Source organism: Homo sapiens, chromosome 5, assembly GCF_000001405.40.
Source record: "Homo sapiens chromosome 5, GRCh38.p14 Primary Assembly".
Lineage (NCBI taxonomy): Eukaryota > Metazoa > Chordata > Mammalia > Primates > Hominidae > Homo > Homo sapiens.
In genome coordinates this window covers 177,718,071-177,736,383 of record NC_000005.10, presented here as the reverse complement: position 1 = coordinate 177,736,383, position 18,313 = coordinate 177,718,071, and the positions used below count along the sequence as shown (strand labels likewise).

Genomic DNA, 18,313 nt, shown 5'->3' with positions numbered 1-18,313 from the left:
CAGCAGTGTCATCTAAGGTGGGGTGGTACATCAGGGATGGGAGGGACAGAGGAGACAGTCTGTATGGAATGATTGTGGATGTCTTTGGGAGTGTGTGTGCATTTCCCCAGAAAACACACTCCCATCTGCAAAGCACAACATGAGGATCAATGTTCAAGAAAAATTCCATCACCACTGCACAGTTTGCATAAATCAACCCATTCATCCTCCACCACAGCTGTACCTGAAGATAAGTTTAATATCCGCAGTCCTCAGATGGACATGCTGCAGAGTTGAATTTCCCAAGCTCTTGGTCTTTTAAATGGAAGAGGCACATGTGAACTCAGGGATGAGTGGAAGGTTAATGCCATGAGCTAGTACACTGAATTTGTCACAAAGCCCTGGTATAATTTCTTGCTAGGCCAAGTTATTCCAGCACTTCTGTGTGCATGTGGGAGAATGAAAACCTATTCAGATCCCAAACACTATCATTATCAGATGGTGTCAATGGTCATCTAACCCAGGGTTTGTTTGAGTAGGTACATTGCACAGTGGGCTTTAGTGTGATCATTAATGTAAAACACACAGAGTCCTCAGGCTTTTGGTCTACAGCGTTGAGGTCATTCCTCAGCTCCTGTTCAAAAGCAGACGATAATCAGTGCCATACTCTATTGTATTTGATGAGATAATCACGGCAAGTCTTAGAAGTTCAGTGGAACCCAATCCCAAGACATAGAATCCAATAAAAAAAAGTCAAGGCTCAACTTGGGTGTTAGCCGGGCACCCATTTTCCCTGCTGGAATCTCCTGCACAGCTGGATTGGAGAGGGTCAGTGCCCACCCCCCGCACCCCCTCGCTGCTCCCCATGACAGGCTGCTCCAGTGCTGGAGTCAGTGTGAGCATGGGGAGCAGTGAACATCATGCTACACACAAATTCTGTTGAAAAGGGAAAGTGGAAGAACAAATACCACATGCTAAGTAGGGGTCATCTTTAAATGGTAGGAAAATTATTTTCAAATCTTGGTTTATTTGCCTTGTACCAGAAAGTTAGTAATAAAATCTTTTGGCTAGAATTAAATCTCCTATTTTAAGAAAGGTTGCTTCTTATTCCGTACAAAATCTTCTAGAAGGGATGATAAACAGATCAGCAGCACATGTGGATTCTGAGGAGGAAATGACTTTGTCAGGGATCAATAAGAGGGCAAGTTAGCTCAGGTCAGATTAGGAAGGAGGAGCCCTAAGAGGCTGCCAGGGACACACAGCCTGCACTGCGTGGTGTGCACTGTTTGAGATTGGCTATTATATGTTTATGAGGTGGCCTGGAGCTAGGAAGCCAAAGGCCCTGATTCCCTTTCTTCCTGCATCTCTCCTGTGCCTGCTACCCTCCTCCCAAACCCACCTCAAGCAGTGTTACTGAATTGTTCATGAGCACCACCACCAAGGTGCTGATGGTCACTTTGTATCCTCCTAGTTCTGATCAGGGATGTACTTCAGGAGCTGTCCAGTTACAACGGTGAGGAGGAGGACCCAGAGGAGGTGAAGGTCAGGCCAACTGGATTTGTCTGAGAAAAAACTGTTGCTTTCTTAGCTTTATCTTATTTGGATTAAATTAAGATATGAGAATCTGAAGATATATATCTTAGTTACACAGTGTCCTTGAGGGAAATGGTAAGTGAGAGTCTGTCCCCACTGAGGCTTGATTTAAGACAGTGGGAGAAAATGACAGCATCAGTCACCTGTTGTGTAACAGTGAGCCTTACCAATTTTGTTCTCTTTGGAGCAAAATCAGCTACTTGCCAGCCAACATGGACTTCAGAGGAAACATCCTCTGAGAAAAATGTGTGTCTTTAGTATGAGTTGATTTGTTCGCTTCTTTGGGGTTCCTTTGAACACTGGGTTTTCCATCTTGTTTTCTAATGTCACTAAGTGAAGAAAAGTCCTGTGCTCACAGGACACAGCATGGTCTGATGCTCATAGCAATTTATTTTCTGTCGTTACAGACATCCTTGGGAGTTCCACAACGTGGTACGTATTGGGGAACCCCTCTCATACTGATGAGTAATCCAGATGTTGAGGAATGTGGCCCTGTCTCACAGGCTTTCCTGTAGACAGGCAGCCTGAGCTGAGCTTCATGTTGTGAATGAGGACCTAGACTGTGATGGGAGAAATGGTTTTCTAGATAAGAAACAGTGGCCACATTCTGCAGTCCCCGGGAGCAGCTGTGTTCTCTGAAGGTGGGGTGGGATCCCGTGCAAGGGGCCTGCTCATGTCTTTTGTGAATTCATGTGGTGCTGTGGTCAGTGAGTCTGGGGGTGTGTGTGTGGGTTTCCGTACTACATATCCCCGGATTTTCTAGTGTCCACATTCTCAACAGAGATTTCCATCACCGTTGCAGTCCTGTTGCAGGCACATGAAAAAATTAACTTGTAAGCTTCCAAAGTGTACAGTTTATTTCACGCACAGGACACTTTAATTAACCTAAAAGAAATCCTCTCCACACCCAGGCAAATTCTTACTGCACACCCATAGAACAGGACTGTGTCAGGATCTCTGCTGATTTTATTTTTTCATTCAGAATTCCCTGCTATACTTTATTTTCTAATAAACCTCACCTCTTCACAGGCCTTTCTATTTCCTCTTGCCACTAGAATGGCATGACACCTCACTCTAGCCCCTTCCCTCCTTTACAAGCCTTTTCTACCAAAGCCCTCAGAACTGACCCTCCACCACCCATCTTGAGCAGGGAGAGTGGGGCAGGGCTTCTTCCTGTGCATTTAGACCCTGGAGCAGCCTCATGCTACAGCGAGTTCTGCTGGGAAACTGAGAAGAGAGGAGCCTGCAGGCGGGGTTAGGGGGAAATCACCCCAACTTTCTCCATAGAGGTCTCATATTGACCATAAGATAATGGGGCCCAGAATGGATAATTCCAGGGTCATGTAGAGTTTCAGCCTTGTATCCCTCAGCCTAGTCATGGTTTCTGTGTGCTCGGCTCAGAAACTACAACATGAAAAGAAAACCAAGGGGTTTGCCCTAGGGTCTGAGAGGCAGGGCGAGCACTTGCCTTCCTAGCATGATGGAGGGTGGCTCATGCAGTGCTGTGTTATTTTCTCATGTCCTGATCAAAAGCACAAAATAATCAGGTGTGTTATATTGTATTTAATGGCATAATCTCCACAAGCCTTACATATGCTGCAGTTCAGCACATACCCCCAAGACACAGCACCAAATAAGAACCGAAGGAAAAACTTGGATGTTACCCTGGTCCTCATCTTCTCTGCTGGACTCCTACACAGCTGGGTTGGAGAGGTTCAGCACCCCCACCTGCTGCCCCCATGATGGGCTGTCCTAGTGCTGGAGCCAGTGTGAGCATGAGCAGCAGCAGGTCCCATGGCACACACACACTGTGTTAAAAGGAAGAGCAGAAGCACAAACACCATGGGCCAAGTAGCGGTCATCTTTAAATGGTAGGATAATTGAGTATTTTCAAATCTTGGCTTAGTCTTCTTTAAAACAAAAGGTTAGTGAATACATAGGATATTTTAGTTAGAATTAAGTCTCCTCTTTGAGGAAGGGTTGCTTTTTATCTAGTACAAAAGTTGTGACATGGTGACTGACGCCTGTAACCCCAGCACTTTGGGAGGCCAAGGCGCGCAGATTACCTGAGGTTGAGAGTTCGAGACCAGACTGACCAACATGGAGAAAACCCGTTTCTCCTAAAAATACAGAATTAGCCAAGCATGGAGATGCATGCCTGTAATCCTAGCTACTCAGGAGGCTGACACTGGAGAATCCCTTGAACCCAGGTGGCACAGGTTGTGGTGGGTCGAGATGGCACCATTATACTCCAGCCTGGGCAAGAAAAGAGAAACTCCATCTCAAAAAAAAAAAAAAAAAGCAAGTTCTGGGAGGGACAAAAAACACAGCAGCAGGACAGGTGGATCCTGGGAGGAAATGACCTCGAGGGGATAAAGAAGGGAGGACAAGTTAGCTGAGGTCAGATTAGGAAGGAGGAGCCCTGGAGGCTGCAGTGAAACACTGTGTGGTGTGCCCTGTTTGAGATGGGCTCTTTCATGTCGAAGAGGTTGGCATAGCTAGAGGACCAAGGCTCTGTCTTCTGAGACCTTCCTGGTGCCTTCCTTCACCATTTGCCTTCCCTCTCCACCATGGAGGATGGACCGGCAGCAGCTGAGTCTGTGCTGTGAACACACCTTTCCACACACGCCAGCCCCGTGTCCACAGCTCCAAGACCACCTGAGGGATTCACTCAGTGGAGCTCATGTGCTTATAGCGACTCTGTTTCCTAGGTGACCTGGAAGACCTGGAGGAGCATGTGCCAGGGCAGACAGTCTCTGAGGAAGCCACAGGGGTTCACATGGTAAAGTCGTCTTCTTTCCTCTGAAAAGGAAATTTTATTTCTCTCGGTTTCTCTGTTTCAATTGAATTAAGATGTATACATCTCACCATGTACACTATAGGTGATTGACAGAATTTCTTGGTGGGCAAATGCCAGAGTTCATTATCAACTAAAAAATGGTTTCAGATGGCATCCACACTTAGAAACTGTGTGTCAGAGGCATTTTCCTTAAGAGAAATGCCTTCTTCTTGAGAAAAATTTGGAATTGTCAAACAGAAACAATTGAAAATGTTGCACAGAAATCCTGTGCCTTTCCAGGAATGTCTTCTAGATACCGGGGCCATTGTCTCAACCACTGTTTACCATCTGGCTTTTTAATGTCAACAAGTGAAGACCTGTGCACACAGGAGACAGCATGGTCTGACCCTCATAGTGTTTTCTTTTTCTCTAGATGCAGGTGGACCCAGCCACGCTGGCAAAGAGTACGTATTCTGGGATCCTCTCTTTGTTTAGGTTTGAAATCTTAGTGTTGTAAAGGTGGCGCTGCTTCACCTGCTTTTGCTCAAGGGCCACTCTGGTTTGAGCTTTCTGCCAGAAATGAGATTTGGGAAGTTCAGTTTAAAAACTACTAAGAGTCACACCGGGCACAGTGGCTCACGCCTGTAATCCCAGCACCTTGAGAGGTGGAGACGGGCGGATCAGCAGAAGTCAGGAGTTTGAGACCAGCCTGACTGACATTGAGAAACCCCATCGCTCCTAAAAATACAAAATTACCTGGGTGTGTTGTCACATGCCTGTAATCCCAGCTACTCAGGAGGCTGAGGCAGGAGAATCACTGGAACCCAGGTGGTAGAGGTTGCAGTGAGCCAAGGTTGTGCCATTGCACTTCAGCCTGGGCAACGAGTGAAACTCTGTCTCAAAAAAAAAAAAAAAAAAAACCCAACAAACTGGGAGTCCAGTACTCTAACCATGCTACTGTCATCCCTGGAAGCAGCAGTGTCATCTAAGGTGGGGTGGTACATCAGAGTTGGGAGGGACAGAGGAGAGAGTCTATATGGAATGATTGTGGATGTCTTTGCGAGTGTGTGTGCATTTCCCCAGAAAACATACTCCCATGTTCAAAGCACAACACAAGGATCAATGTCCAAGAAAAATTCCATCACCACTGCACAGTTTCCATAAATCAATCCATTCATCCTCCACCACAGCTGTACCTGAAGATAAGTTTAATATCCACAGTCCTCAGATGGACATGCTGCAGAGTTGAATTTCCCAAGCTCTTGGTCTTTTAAGTGGAAGAGGCACATGTGAACTCGGGGATGAGTGGAAGGTTAATGGCATGAGCTACTACACTGAATTTGTCACAAAGCCCTTGTATAGTTTCTTCCTAGGCCAACTGATCCCAGCACTTCTGTGTGCATGTGGGAGAATGAAAACCTATTCAGATCCCACAGACTATCGTTATTGGATGGTCTCAATGGTCAGCTAACCCAGGGTTTGAGTAGGTACATTGCGCAGTGGGCTTTAGTGTGACCATTAATGTCAAACACACAGAGTCCTCAGGCTTTTGGACTACAGTGTTGAGGTCATTCCTCAGCTCCTGTTCAAAAGCAGACAATAATCAGTGCCATACTCTATTGTATTTAAGGAGATAACCACCGCAAGTCTTAGAAGTTCAGTGGAACCCAATCCCAAGACATAGCATCCAATAAAAAAATCTCAAGGCTCAACTTGGGAATTAGCCGGGCACCCATTTTCCCTGCAGGAATCTCCTGCACAGCTGGGTTGGAGAGGGTCAGTGCCCGCCCCCCGCACCCCCTCGCTGCTCCCCATGACAGGCTGTCCCAGTGCTGGAGTCAGTGTGAGCATGAGGAGCAGTGAACATCATGGTGCACACAAATTCTGTTGAAAAGGGAGAGTGGAAGAACAAATACCACATGCTAAGTAGGGGTCATCTTTAAATGGTAGGATAATTATTTTCAAATCTTGGTTTATTTGCCTTGTAACAGAAAGTCAGTAATAAAATCTTTTGGCTAGAATTAAATCTCCTATTTTAAGAATGGTTGCTTCTTATTCCATACAAAATCCTCTAAAAGGGATGGTAAACACATCAGCATCCTCCTCAGTGGATTGTGAGGAGGAAATGACTTTGGCAGGGATCAATAAGAGGGCAAGTTAGCTCAGGTCATATTAGGAAGGAGGAGTCCTGGATGCTGCAGTGAAACACTGTGTGGTGTGCTCTGTTTGAGATGGGCTCTTTCATGTCGAAGAGGTTGGCGTAGCTAGAGGACCAAGGCTCTGTCTTCTGAGGCCTTCCTGGTGCCTTCCTTCACCATTTGCCTTCCCTCTCCACCACGGAGGATGGACCGGCAGCAGCTGAGTCTGTGCTGTGAACACACCTTTCCACACACGCCAGCCCCGTGTCCACAGCTCCAAGACCACCTGAGGGATTCACTCAGTGGAGCTCATGTGCTTATAGCGACTCTGTTTCCTAGGTGACCTGGAAGACCTGGAGGAGCATGTGCCAGAGCAGACAGTCTCTGAGGAAGCCACAGGGGTTCACATGGTAAAGTCGTCTTCTTTCCTCTGAAAAGGAAATTTTATTTCTCTCGGTTTCTCTGTTTCAATTGAATTAAGATGTATACACCTCACCATACACACTATAGGTGACTGACAGAATTTCTTGGTGGGCAAATGCCAGAGTTCATTATCAACTAAACAGTGGTTTCAGATGGCATCCACACTTACAAACTGTGTGTCAACAGGCATTTTCCTTAAGAGAAATTCCTTCTTCTTGAGAAGAATTTGGAATTGTCAAAGAAAAACAATTGAAAATGTTGCACAGAAATCCTGTGCCTTTCCAGGAATGTCTTCTAGATACCGGGGCCATTGTCTCAACCACTGTTTACCATCTGGCTTTTTAACGTCAACAAGTGAAGACCTGTGCACACAGGAGACAGCATGGTCTGACCCTCATAGTGTTTTCTTTTTCTCTAGATGCAGGTGGACCCAGCCACACTGGCAAAGCGTACGTATTCTGGGATCATCTCTTTGTTTAGGTGTGAAATCTTAGTGTTGTAAAGGTAGTGCTGCTTCACCTGCTTTTGCTCAAGGGCCACTCTGGTTTGAGCTTTCTGCCAGAAATGAGATTTGGGAATTTTGGTTTAAAAACTACTAAGAGTCACACCGGGCACAGTGGCTCACGCCTGTAATCCCAGCACCTTGAGAGGCGGAGACGGGCGGATCAGCAGAGGTCAGGAGTTTGAGACCAGCCTGACTGACATTGAGAAACCCCATCGCTCCTAAAAATACAAAATTACCTGGGTGTGGTGTCACATGCCTGCAATCCCAGCTACTCAGGAGGCCAAGGCAGGAGAATCACCTGAACCCAGGTGGTAGAGGTTGCGGTGAGCCAAGGTTGTGCCATTGCACTCCAGCCTGGGCAACGAGCGAAACTCCGTCTCAAAAAAAAAAACAAAAACAAACAAAAAAAAAAACACCCCAACAAACTAAGAGTCCAGTACTCTAACCATGCTACTGTCATCCCTGGAAGCAGCAGTGTCATGTAAGGTGGGGTAGTACATCAGAGTTGGGAGGGACAGAGGAGAGAGTCTATATGGAATGATTGTGGATGTCTTTGTGAGTGTGTGTGCATTTCCCCAGAAAACATACTCCCATGTTCAAAGCACAACACGAGGATCAATGTCCAAGAAAAATTCCATCACCACTGCACAGTTTGCATAAATCAACCCATTCATCGTCCACCACAGCTGTACCTGAAGATAAGTTTAATATACCCAGTCCTCAGATGGACACGCTGCAGAGTTGAATTTCCCAAGCTCTTGGTCTTTTAAGTGCAAGAGGCACATGTGAACTCGGGGATGAGTGGAAGGTTAATGCCATGAGCTAGTACACTGAATTTGTCACAAAGCCCTGGTATAATTTCTTGCTAGGCCAAGTTATTCCAGCAATTCTGTGTGCATGTGGGAGAATGAAAAGCTATTCAGATCCCAAACACTATCGTTATCAGATGGTCTCAATGGTCAGCTAACCCAGGGTTTGTTTGAGTAGGTACATTGCACAGTGGGCTTTAGTGTGATCATTAATGTAAAACACACACAGTCCTCAGGCTTTTGGTCTAGAATGGTGAAATCATTCCTCAGCTCCTTTTCAAAAGCAGACAATAATCAGTGGCATATTCTATTGTATTTAATGAAATAATCATCAGGCAGGATACCTGCCCCACACTAGTTGCAGAGGAGGTGAGAACAGACCCTGCTTCAGTGCAAGGTGAACTCAGCAAAGGGAGTGGGGCTGCTCCAGAGTCCAGGTGGTCCTTGCAACTCTCCTGTGTGATGTATAAGACATCACTTTGCCTTTTCTCTGAGATAGTCTTGGAATTGTTAGTCCTAAACTCTGTTTTGCTTTACTTATGTGTAGATGAATCCTGGCCATGGCTGGTCACGGAGGGGAAGGACTATGTCCTCCTCGTTCCTTCTCATCCCAGAGCTTAGCCCTGGGCAGCCCATCTTGGGCCCCAGTAATGTTCCAATGCTTCCAAACCCTTTGCTGAGATCCAGCACCAGTGTGAAAAGGCTTCCTGCTCATCTCCTTCAATCTGTTGTTTCTCATAGTAATTTAGAAACCTTAGTGGATTCTGATCCAAGGTCACAGGAGAATAGGGTGGGCTCCTGAAGTCAATGAAGTGTCCCCCTCATCTCTACCCTGGCTACTTTGGTTCAGCTTTTCTCCTTGCAGAAGAGGCTGTTTTTCTGTTTACGAGTCCTCCTTTGCTGGACCAGGCTTTTTTATTTTTGTTGTGGCATCCCTGCACTTCACAGGGGGCCTGGAGCTTGTTCCTGTGCCCCTGAAGTACCCATCCATGAATGATCAGATCACAGCAGCAAACCACTCTGCCAGGAATCACCAGGGGGGAGAGTCACATCTTCCTCATCTTTGGGTTTAGACCTGTGCATTCCAGTATGGTCCTCAGTGGCATATGTGCCCATTCATGTTAAAATAAATGAAAAAATTCATAACCTCCTCACAAGAGCCATGCTAGAAGTTCCCAGTTGCCAAAAGTCTACTCTTAAGAGAGCATCTCCATTCTCCCAGAATCACCTGGGAAGCAGCTGCTGTGAGTCTGGCCCAGGTTCTGTTCTCTGCACCCACCTAACTCAGTGCATTTGCATCAAGGCTGGAATCTCAGGTTCTCAGATTGGAGGTAAGAGATGCTATGAGCCAGTGTCGGTGAACAGTTGAAAGGGATTATTTCAGGTCCTCTGTCTTACCTGAAGGCTCACAACTGTGAGCAGTGCCTTCATAAAGGCCCCTGAGTTCACAGAGCCCAGGGAGAATCACAGTGGACAGAGCAGTAGTACTAATGTTTGTGTCTCTGTACATGGGCTCATGGGCACCACCTCTGGATCCATCCAGGAGGAAATAGACTGGTCAGGTAGGGACCAACACTCCAGGGTTGACCAGTGAGACAGGGTTCTTGGGAATTGGGTTACACTTATTTTGGAGCCTAGGATGGGATCAGTGAAGTGACTAAATATGAAACAGGTGTAGAAGTCTGACTTGGGATTTTTTGTATCTTAATGAGAAAGTCCTAAGAGTTTTGTTCTCATGGGCTTTGTGCGAGTTGTGTATGTCACCATCATTTCTTGCTCTGGTGTTTAAATATTACATTTTGCAGAAGACCAGATCATTCCTGCCTTTGCCACAGTAAGCACCAGAGCCCTGGGTTTTGATGAGGTAGCATTTTTTTGTGAATAGAGATCACAAGATGAGTATGCAGGTGTAAAGTTGAGTGTGGGGTGGGACACAGCCCCACATAGGCGCTACGTGATCCTGAAGACAAAGTCCTTCATACGTGTGCCAGGAGGTGAAAGGAGCCCACTGTCTTTCTCTACACTCTTGGGACCTGCAACAGCACCTTCCTGTCCTGTCCTCACTGTCTGCTCCTGCTCTAAGGGTGCTCCCTGGGTCGGATGACACAGGGAATCCTTCCTCTGGGATTCCTACGTGTGCCCCAGCATCCTGGAGTCCTGAGGGCAGAACACATGATTGAGCACAGTTTTGGCCTCCACTCCTCACCCAATCCCATCCAATCCCAAATCCCTGTGCTTTGAATGAAACCTAAATTGGCTTTCACTGGAGAGGCCCAAGTCTAGCTGTTGCTCAGGGCCCTCTGTGGCTGGCAGGAATCCTAAGGGATATGTGTGGAGGGGCTGCTGTGTTGCTGTAGGCAGTGGCTCTCACCCTCCCTGTAGCCTGGTCCCTGGAATCCACTGGGCCCAGGGCAGAGCCTCTGGGCAGCTGGCACAGTAGTCACTTGTCTTGTCACACCCTCCTCTCTGGCTCAGCAGCCTTGTCCTTCTCCCCACACTCCAGTCAGGCCCAGATTGTTCTCTGTGTCAGGTCTTCCAGGTACCTTCCCTCCTAGTCTTCCCACAGCTCAGGCAAACCCTGGGAGGGTCCCCTCATTTCTGTGCTGGCAACTGCTGGCCTCACTTGCAGATTAAGGCAACTGGGACAAGGAGCTTTACCTTGAATTCTGTTCCATTGTTTCCAAATATTCAGAAGCTGCTGGGATTCTTTTGAGGGCTGAATATTTTCCAAGTCTCTAAGGTCACTCCAGGCATAGAACAGTCACTGTATAAGTGACATCGGCCATCATCACCTCCCGCAGGCCCCAACACAACCCCAGGCCTGTGGGAGGTGCTGCTGACCCAGGGTGCGATCCGTGGGTTGATTGGAGGCCCTGGCAGTGCAGCCTTGACCTTCTTTCCAGTGTTCTTATTTTGGAGAACAGTAGGACTGGTGGAGGTCCACAGGGTGAAAGGAAATGGGATTCATGCGGGAACAGAAACAGGCCCTACAGGAGGAGAAGGGAGGGAACTCCATGTCACGCACAACGTTGTGAAGAGGGCGCTGCCTCTTGGAGGAACAGAATGACACGGCTTCCCCTCCCTTGGCTCAGTTATGGAATGTGAGGGCTGGGAAAGTACATGGGAAGTCAGAGGTCCCTCCCTCATAGCACAGAGGAAATGATACAGGCTGTGGAGAAGGCTCCAGAAATGAGCACATCAGAGGCTCTGGGGTTGGCTCCACAGCCCCAGGACAGCGGGGTCTGAGTGGTTCTCTCGACTCTAACTCTCCCCTTTCCTTCTTATGGCCACCCCATCACCGCTGCTCCTCCGGACACTCTGATGCTTGCTTCACAGAATTGGAAGACTCCACCATTACAGGCAGCCACCAGCAGGTAATTGATCTCCTCTTATATGCTGGCTGTCTTTTATCCTCTTTCTGACTCATGAGCTCCTTTTTTAGCTCTAGTCCTTTTCCTCTTTCCCTCTCTTGTGATTGTTCTCCTGAAGGACCTGGTCTCATCCCACAGTTGAGGTCCTCGGGTCTTCAGTGTCGATAAAATCCCTCTCCAGCCCTCCTGCCCACTGCCTTGGCATTGCCCTGTTTACTGGCCCCCAGGTTGCAGCTTTGAATCTTGCTGAACAACCCTACAGGGTCCAGGGGAGGGGGCTGGGCTGGGGTCAGAAGAGCTGGACCCCACCCTGCTGGAGGGACCCCCCAGTGACATCTGGGTCTGCTCTGGACACCGCCTTCACAGATAGGTCTTTTCCTGCACTGGCGTCTCTGGACATGCACAATTGTTCTCTTCCTCACAGATGTCAGCAAGTCCTTCCTCTGCACCTGCAGAAGAAGCAACAGAAAAGACCAAAGTGGAAGAGGAAGTGTGAGTGTGCAGTGGGCAGAATGATGAGGGAAGTGGGCACGTGCCCATGTTCTTCTTGGCTACGCTCACTTTCTTGTTGTCCCATCAGGAAAACCAGAAAGCCCAAGAAGAAAACCAGGAAGCCCAGCAAGAAAAGCCGGTGGAATGTCCTGAAATGTTGGGACATTTTTAATATATTTTAGAGACCTCTGAAGGCAAGTGAAGGATGCCCTGAGAACATGCTCCAGGAAACAGACACCCACTCCATAGCAGCCCCTGAGCCTGCTGGGCTGAGCCCTCCACAGGCTGCTTAGTGAGGGAGACACTGAGGTGCTGGTCGCACCCCCATGTGCAGGACTCCAAGGGCTTTGCACTGTGTTGTCTGCAGTAACTCTTCAGCTCACCAACATCTCATTTGGGGGGACCTAGCTCTGTCTTCCCAGCCCCTTGAGGACAACAGGGAGCATCACTAGTTCATCCTGAGGAGACACTAGGGTTGACATGAATCCCCCTGGTTCAGGCCTCCTGGGAAAGGTGTGAGAGGGATGGAGGCACCCCCAGGCTCCTTGTCACACAAGCGAGCAGCCCACCCGACCCAGTATTGCAGGCCAGCAGGCCCTCAGTAGGTCCTGGTGTCAAGCAGGGGACACGGCAGGATCCAAGAAGCACTGAAATGTGTCCAGTCCCAGGAGTCCTTCAGCCTCTGGGGGGTCTGGGGGCCTCCAGTTCCAGGGGTCCTTCAGCCTCTGTGGGGGCCTGGGGTGGCCTCATGGCCCCCTTTTTCAAGATGAGGTTGGAGGCTTCTGTATGTAGAGGGCACTGGCTTGGGCCAAATGCCAACAAAACAAACCCTTGAAGACATTTCAGGGCCATGCTCACTTGGGAGGGTTTGAGGACATGATTTAGCGAGCCTCTGTTTTTTAAATATATTTTCCAATCTTGAAATAAGGTACACATATGAATGTGTGTGTGTGTGTGTGTACATATACACTGTTTTTCACTTTCAAATGTATGTCTTCTGTAACCCTTTTATGCTAGAATATACAAACATGAGAAATTTGTGTCTTACCAAAGCATAATTTTAAAAATTACAAAGCAAAGACAGGTCCGGTGGGGATGCTAGAAAGACCAGGTCTTATTAGGCAATAACAATGACATGCTCCAGGAAGCTATGCATGTTCAACGTGCAGCTCTTCTCCAGGAAGCTATGCATGTTCAACGTGCAGCTCTTCTCCAGGAAGCTATGCATGTTCAACGTGCAGCTCTTCTCCAGGAAGCTATGCATATTCAACGTGCAGCTCTTCCGTCTGGATGGCACAGAGGATCTGGGTGGCAAGGCAGGGTCACCACCCCCACCCTGTGTCATGAGACCTCCTGCTCCTCTTAGGGCCCAGGGGCATGGGACTCTGCCTGTTGATCCTGGTATGCTTGAAATTCCGTTTCTGTGTGTCTGTTTTACCCTCCGGGGAACCAGCCCCCTGAAGGTGCCCGTGTGAGCGCCCAGGTTCATTCTTCCTCCATGACACTCACACTCTCTGTGGACAGATAACTCCTCAGCAGAGAGCAGCACACAGGGCTCAGTGCCTTGACATCTGAGTAGACCTGATTGTGGGGAGCTCAGGGGCCCCAGGTCACCTTCCAGGGCCCAAGGAGGTCTCTGAGACCTGCACACCCATCCCAGGGAGCCCCTCCTCCCTCTACCTCTGTGCCTCTCTAGTGACCCTTGCACCTCTGTCTGTGTTGCAGATTCCTCGACCACCAGGAAGGGCCCCGACGTGGGGATGTCAACATGGCTCAGACTTGATGTGGATCGTGATCATTTCGGGAAATGTGTTACTCCAAAAACTTTTATAATCTTTGCTTAATTTGTTTTTAAATACTTTCCTGGCTGGGCGTGGTGGCTTATGCCTGTAATCCCAGCACTTTGGGAGGCCGAGGCGGGTGGATCACCTGAGGTCAGGAGTTCAAGACCAGCCTGGCCAACAAGGTGAAACCCCGTCTCTACTAAAAATACAAAAATTAGCTAGGCGTGGTGGCGCACTCTTGTAGTCCCAGCTATTTGGGAGGCTGAGGCAGGAGAATCACTTGAACTCAGGAGGCGGAGGTTGCGGTGAGCCGAGATCATGCCACTGCACCCCAGCACCTGGCTACAGAGTGAGACTTTGTCTCAAAAAAAAAAAAAAAAGAACAAAAAAATTCTGACTTTAACCTCTGTTTTTCAGAGGGCACAAATTGTTCTTGTATTGTTTCCATTTTACATTTTTTTCTTGAAGTTATTTTCCAATTGTTTTCATTCTTTCTGAAGTTTTGTTTACTCGGTTTTAAGTTTTTGTAATTTTGATAGACTTCTTTTGTGCTTTCATTTTCTTAATGACTTTTACCTCATTTTTAAAACAAATCCATAGTATGGTAAGTTACATCAATATGGAGTATTTTTATGTTTTGTGGTGATTTACATTCTGTATGTATTTTACATATATAAATGTTAATGGCCTGGTGCAGTGGCTACCACCTGTAATCTCAGCAGTTTGGGAGACCAAAGCAGGACGATTGCTTGATCCCAGGAGTTTAAGACCAGCCTGGGCAACATAGTGAGACCTCATCCCTACAAAAAAAAAAAAATCCTTTAATTAGCTGGGCATGGTAGCATCCATCTGTAGCCCCAGCTACTTGGGAGGCTGAGGCAGGAGGACTGGTTGAGCCTAGGAGGTTGAGCCTCCAGTAAGCCATGACTGCACCACTGCACTCCAGCCTGGGTGACAGAGCAAGACCCTGTCTTAAAAAAGAAAAGTTTATTAACGTGAATATCAGTTAGAAATCTAGTTGTTCATTGCAAAACTAAACCAGTTTATAGCAGAAATAAGCACTTGGAGGGAAATGTTACATTTTCACTGCAGGCCTTGAATCCTTAGCCACCAGCTCCGTGTCCTTCAGTGTTCTGTGGTTCCTGGTTCCAGAGAGATCACCTGCTCCAATGTAACGAGTGAAGAGTTCTTTAGGTGATGGCTGCTGGGCCCAGCTTTGCTGTTGTCTTTGCTGTCTTGTAAGCTTTGTGTCGCTCAAGTTCAGTTGTGTATGAGTGTACTAACCACTGTGAGCTTCTCCAAGCATGTGCAAGCAATTTGAGAGGAGCCTAATATTTGCAAGGAATTTGAGAGGAGCCTTTTAAGGATGTTTTATTGGCGGGGGTCAGGTGAGGGAGATAACACGGGGGCAAGAAGGAAAGTTATTAATTCATGGGAAACTACCAGCCCTTCATCACCTAACTTGTGATTTACAGACACTGAGCACATTGCAGGTTGAGAAGGTGCTTGGTCCTTTTTGTAGCCTTATGCTGTGCTCTTCAGAGACGTGAGTGTGCTGCTTTTTCTCACCATTTTGTTTCTTGTAGATTGTTTTCCTTGATGCTGGAAAACATTTTGAAGACAAGACTCTAAACAGTGACCTATGCCACACTAGTTTATTGGAAAATGAGAAACTTACATTACTGACAAGCTTGGAAGATTCTTCAGTCCTGCAGTGACCTGTGTGTCCCTGGTCTTTACCTTACCAATCTGCTTGATTCTCCTTTCTTGTGGCAGTAGTTATGATGCCAACTTTTGGGGTTCTTTGTCCTCCTCTTTTCTTCCTACCTGCCAGCATTCAAATGGCCACTTCTATTAAGTGATGGAATTCAAGAATGTATTTATTTATTAATCCTGATATTGTTTCACTCATCCCTCAGTTTAACATTTAGGGTACAAAGTAGTCACCTAGAGGTGCCACTCAATATACAGCACTGTGTTTAGAAATTGAGGGAGCCATGAAATATTTAGCCTCTGCTCTCTGAGACCTCAGCCAGGTGCAAAGAAGAGATGCAGAACCACATTTCAGATTGTGTTGTGTACAACCAGCAGCACCAAAATGTGCCTGGGAATCATGGGGGTCAGAAATTTACCTCTGAGGCAGGTATGGCTGAAGCTTTACGAAAAGAGATGGGGCCCGTGCCAGGCCTTAGACGTGCGAGAAGGAGGGCGTGTCAGGAAGCAGAAACAGTATCAGCAAAGGCGCTGCTGGGAGGCATGTGGGCAGTGTTTGGGGAACGGCCAGGGGCTTTCTGTGTCAGGTTTACAGCATCTGTGGGAGGCTGCGTTGGTAAATAACCCCAGAGAAGTAGGCTGGGGCTACTTACATTAAAAGTATGCATGGCTTTGAAGGCCAGCTGAGTGGTATAAATAGAAACTACAAATAGTATCACATTTATTGAGGACAGCTTGTGCTGCCAAAAGAGTTTTTAAAATTTTTTTGGATTGTGTAATTGGTGGATAAAGAATTATTGACCTAAATGTATCTGATCTTAGAGTGTTTTAGTATGCTAGATTATTGGAGGTGAAATGGCTAAGTCAAAGGTGATGAGTGTTTTTGAGACTCTTAATGTTAATTGCAAAATTAACCTCTAAAAAGGTAGGCCGGGCGCACTGGCTCACGCCTGTAATCCCAGCACTTTGGGAGGCCGAGGCGGGCGGATCACGAGGTCAGGAGATTGAGACCATCCTGGCTAACACGGTGAAACCCCGTCTCTACTAAAAATACAAAAAGTTAGCCCGATGTGGTGGCAGGTGCCTGTGGTCCCAGCTACTCAGGAGGCTGAGGCAGGAGAATGGTGTGAACCCAGGAGGTGGAGCTTGCAGTGAGCCGAGATCACGCCACTGCACTCCAGCCTAGGTGACAGAGTGAGACTCCACCTCGAAAAAAAAATAAATAAATAAAAGCCAGTGCCAGCTTAGACCATGACTGAGAGCTCTTGGTTTATCTTATCCTTGCCGAGCTGGGTGTTACAACATTGAAGCCTTCTGCAGTGTCCTCCCTCCCTTTTTCTCTCTTTCTCTCTCTCTCCTCCCTTTCTTCCTTTTACTTCTCTTAGGATAGGCTCGTCTGTACTTTTTTGATAGAGGTAACCATTTGCCACACCATTTTCTGAAGTGCCTGCTCTCTTCCCCATTCATTTGTGATGGCACATTTATCCTACCCTAAGCTTTGATAACGTGTCAGGATCTTTCTGTCCTGTCCTCTCAAAGAGGTTAAATATTTTTTTATAATAACTTATAATTGACTGAAGTTATAACAGTTTTCTCATGTCAAGTATAAAAACAGGCCAGGCGAGGTGGCTCACACCTGTAATCCCAGCACTTTGGTAGGCCAAGGTGGGTGGAATGCTTGAGTCCAGGAGTTTAAGACCAGCCTGGACAACATGGGACAACCCCATTTCTACAAAAAAAAATACAAAAATTATCCAGGCAAGGTGGTGCACGCGTGTAGTCCCAGTTACTCGGGAGGCTGAGGTGGGAGGATGGCTTGAATCTGGGAGGTGAAGATTGCAGTGAGCTGAGATCACACCACTGCATTCAGTCTGGATAATAGAACAAGACTCTATCTCAAAAAAAAAAATTGTATACTTTATTGACTCATTTATGTCTGATGGGTATTTTTGATTACAAATTGTTTAGTCACTACTTTAAGGCCTGCTTTATTTTTTTCTTAATTTTATTGACTCATTTATGTCTTAGTCTTTTTTATTACAAATTATTTATTGTTCAGTCACTACCTTAGAGCCTGTTTTATTTTTTCTTAATTTTATTGACTCATTTATATCTCAGCCCTTTTTATTACAAATTATTTATTGTTTAGTCACTGCCTTAGAGCCTGTTTTATTTTTTCTTAATTTTATTAAAGGATGATATTGATGATGAAATGTCTTACGATGATCATTTAGAGGTTTATTTCGAACAACTGGCAATTCCAGGAATGATGGAATAAAGCATACGAAGTAGAAGGACTGGAACCTCCAGAAAAAGTACTTTAAGTTACCTACAGGTGATCCTAGTCAGGTATGTTACAGTCTTAATGGCTTTTCAGAAATTTGACAGAAAATCACTGTTGATCTCACTGGATGTTTACATGAATTTTAAGCCTTTGGTTTTCTTTTAACTCTGTTTTTTACAGGTATGAATTGATAAGAAATGCCTGCACCTTCCCTCCTTCCTATCTTTCCCTTGCCTACAGAAAATTAAAAGGCAAAACAATGGACATCTACATATTCTTCATTCAGATCAACCAGTGGCTAGCATTTGCCACCTTTTGCAGTTTCTTTCTCTTTCCATAAGTACTTTCTTCTCTGAATCATTTGAAAGTAAGTTGAAAAGAGCATGATGTTTTACCCCAACACTTCAGCGTTTATCTCTTGTGAATAATGACATATTTCTATG

At 46.6% G+C, this 18,313-nt stretch overlaps 1 protein-coding gene and 1 long non-coding RNA gene across 34 annotated transcripts in view; one reads left to right on the top strand and one right to left on the bottom strand.

The window, feature by feature from the left end:
- FAM153A (family with sequence similarity 153 member A) overlaps window positions 1-18,313 on the top strand; it is an 89,179-nt gene that overhangs the window by 47,042 nt on the left and 23,824 nt on the right. For 10 of the 27 annotated variants that reach the window (NR_146226.2, XM_017009364.2, XM_017009369.2 and 7 more), the window contains 12 exons: window positions 1,451-1,521; window positions 1,980-2,004; window positions 4,284-4,354; window positions 4,785-4,815; window positions 6,829-6,899; window positions 7,331-7,361; window positions 11,563-11,600; window positions 12,022-12,089; window positions 12,178-12,283; window positions 13,815-14,477; window positions 17,781-17,935; window positions 18,051-18,237. Coding sequence is in view for 25 of the 27 variants with exons in the window: in XM_017009364.2 (XP_016864853.1) it covers window positions 1,451-1,521; window positions 1,980-2,004; window positions 4,284-4,354; window positions 4,785-4,815; window positions 6,829-6,899; window positions 7,331-7,361; window positions 11,563-11,600; window positions 12,022-12,089; window positions 12,178-12,271 (500 nt within the window). In the remaining 2 variants the exon portion in view is untranslated. Of the gene's footprint in view, window positions 1-1,450; window positions 1,522-1,979; window positions 2,005-4,283; window positions 4,355-4,784; window positions 4,816-6,828; window positions 6,900-7,330; window positions 7,362-11,562; window positions 11,601-12,021; window positions 12,090-12,177; window positions 13,021-13,814; window positions 14,478-17,780; window positions 17,936-18,050; window positions 18,238-18,313 lie in introns of those variants that run through there. The other 17 variants (XM_017009359.2, XM_017009358.2, XM_017009361.2 and 14 more) reach the window with 11 other exon arrangements.
- LOC107986489 (uncharacterized) overlaps window positions 6,307-18,313 on the bottom strand; it is a 57,699-nt gene continuing 45,692 nt past the window's right edge. For all 7 annotated transcript variants that reach the window (XR_001743020.2, XR_001743023.2, XR_001743022.2 and 4 more), the window contains exon 5: window positions 6,307-6,919. This is a non-coding gene — a long non-coding RNA (uncharacterized LOC107986489). The remainder of the gene's footprint in view (window positions 6,920-18,313) is intronic.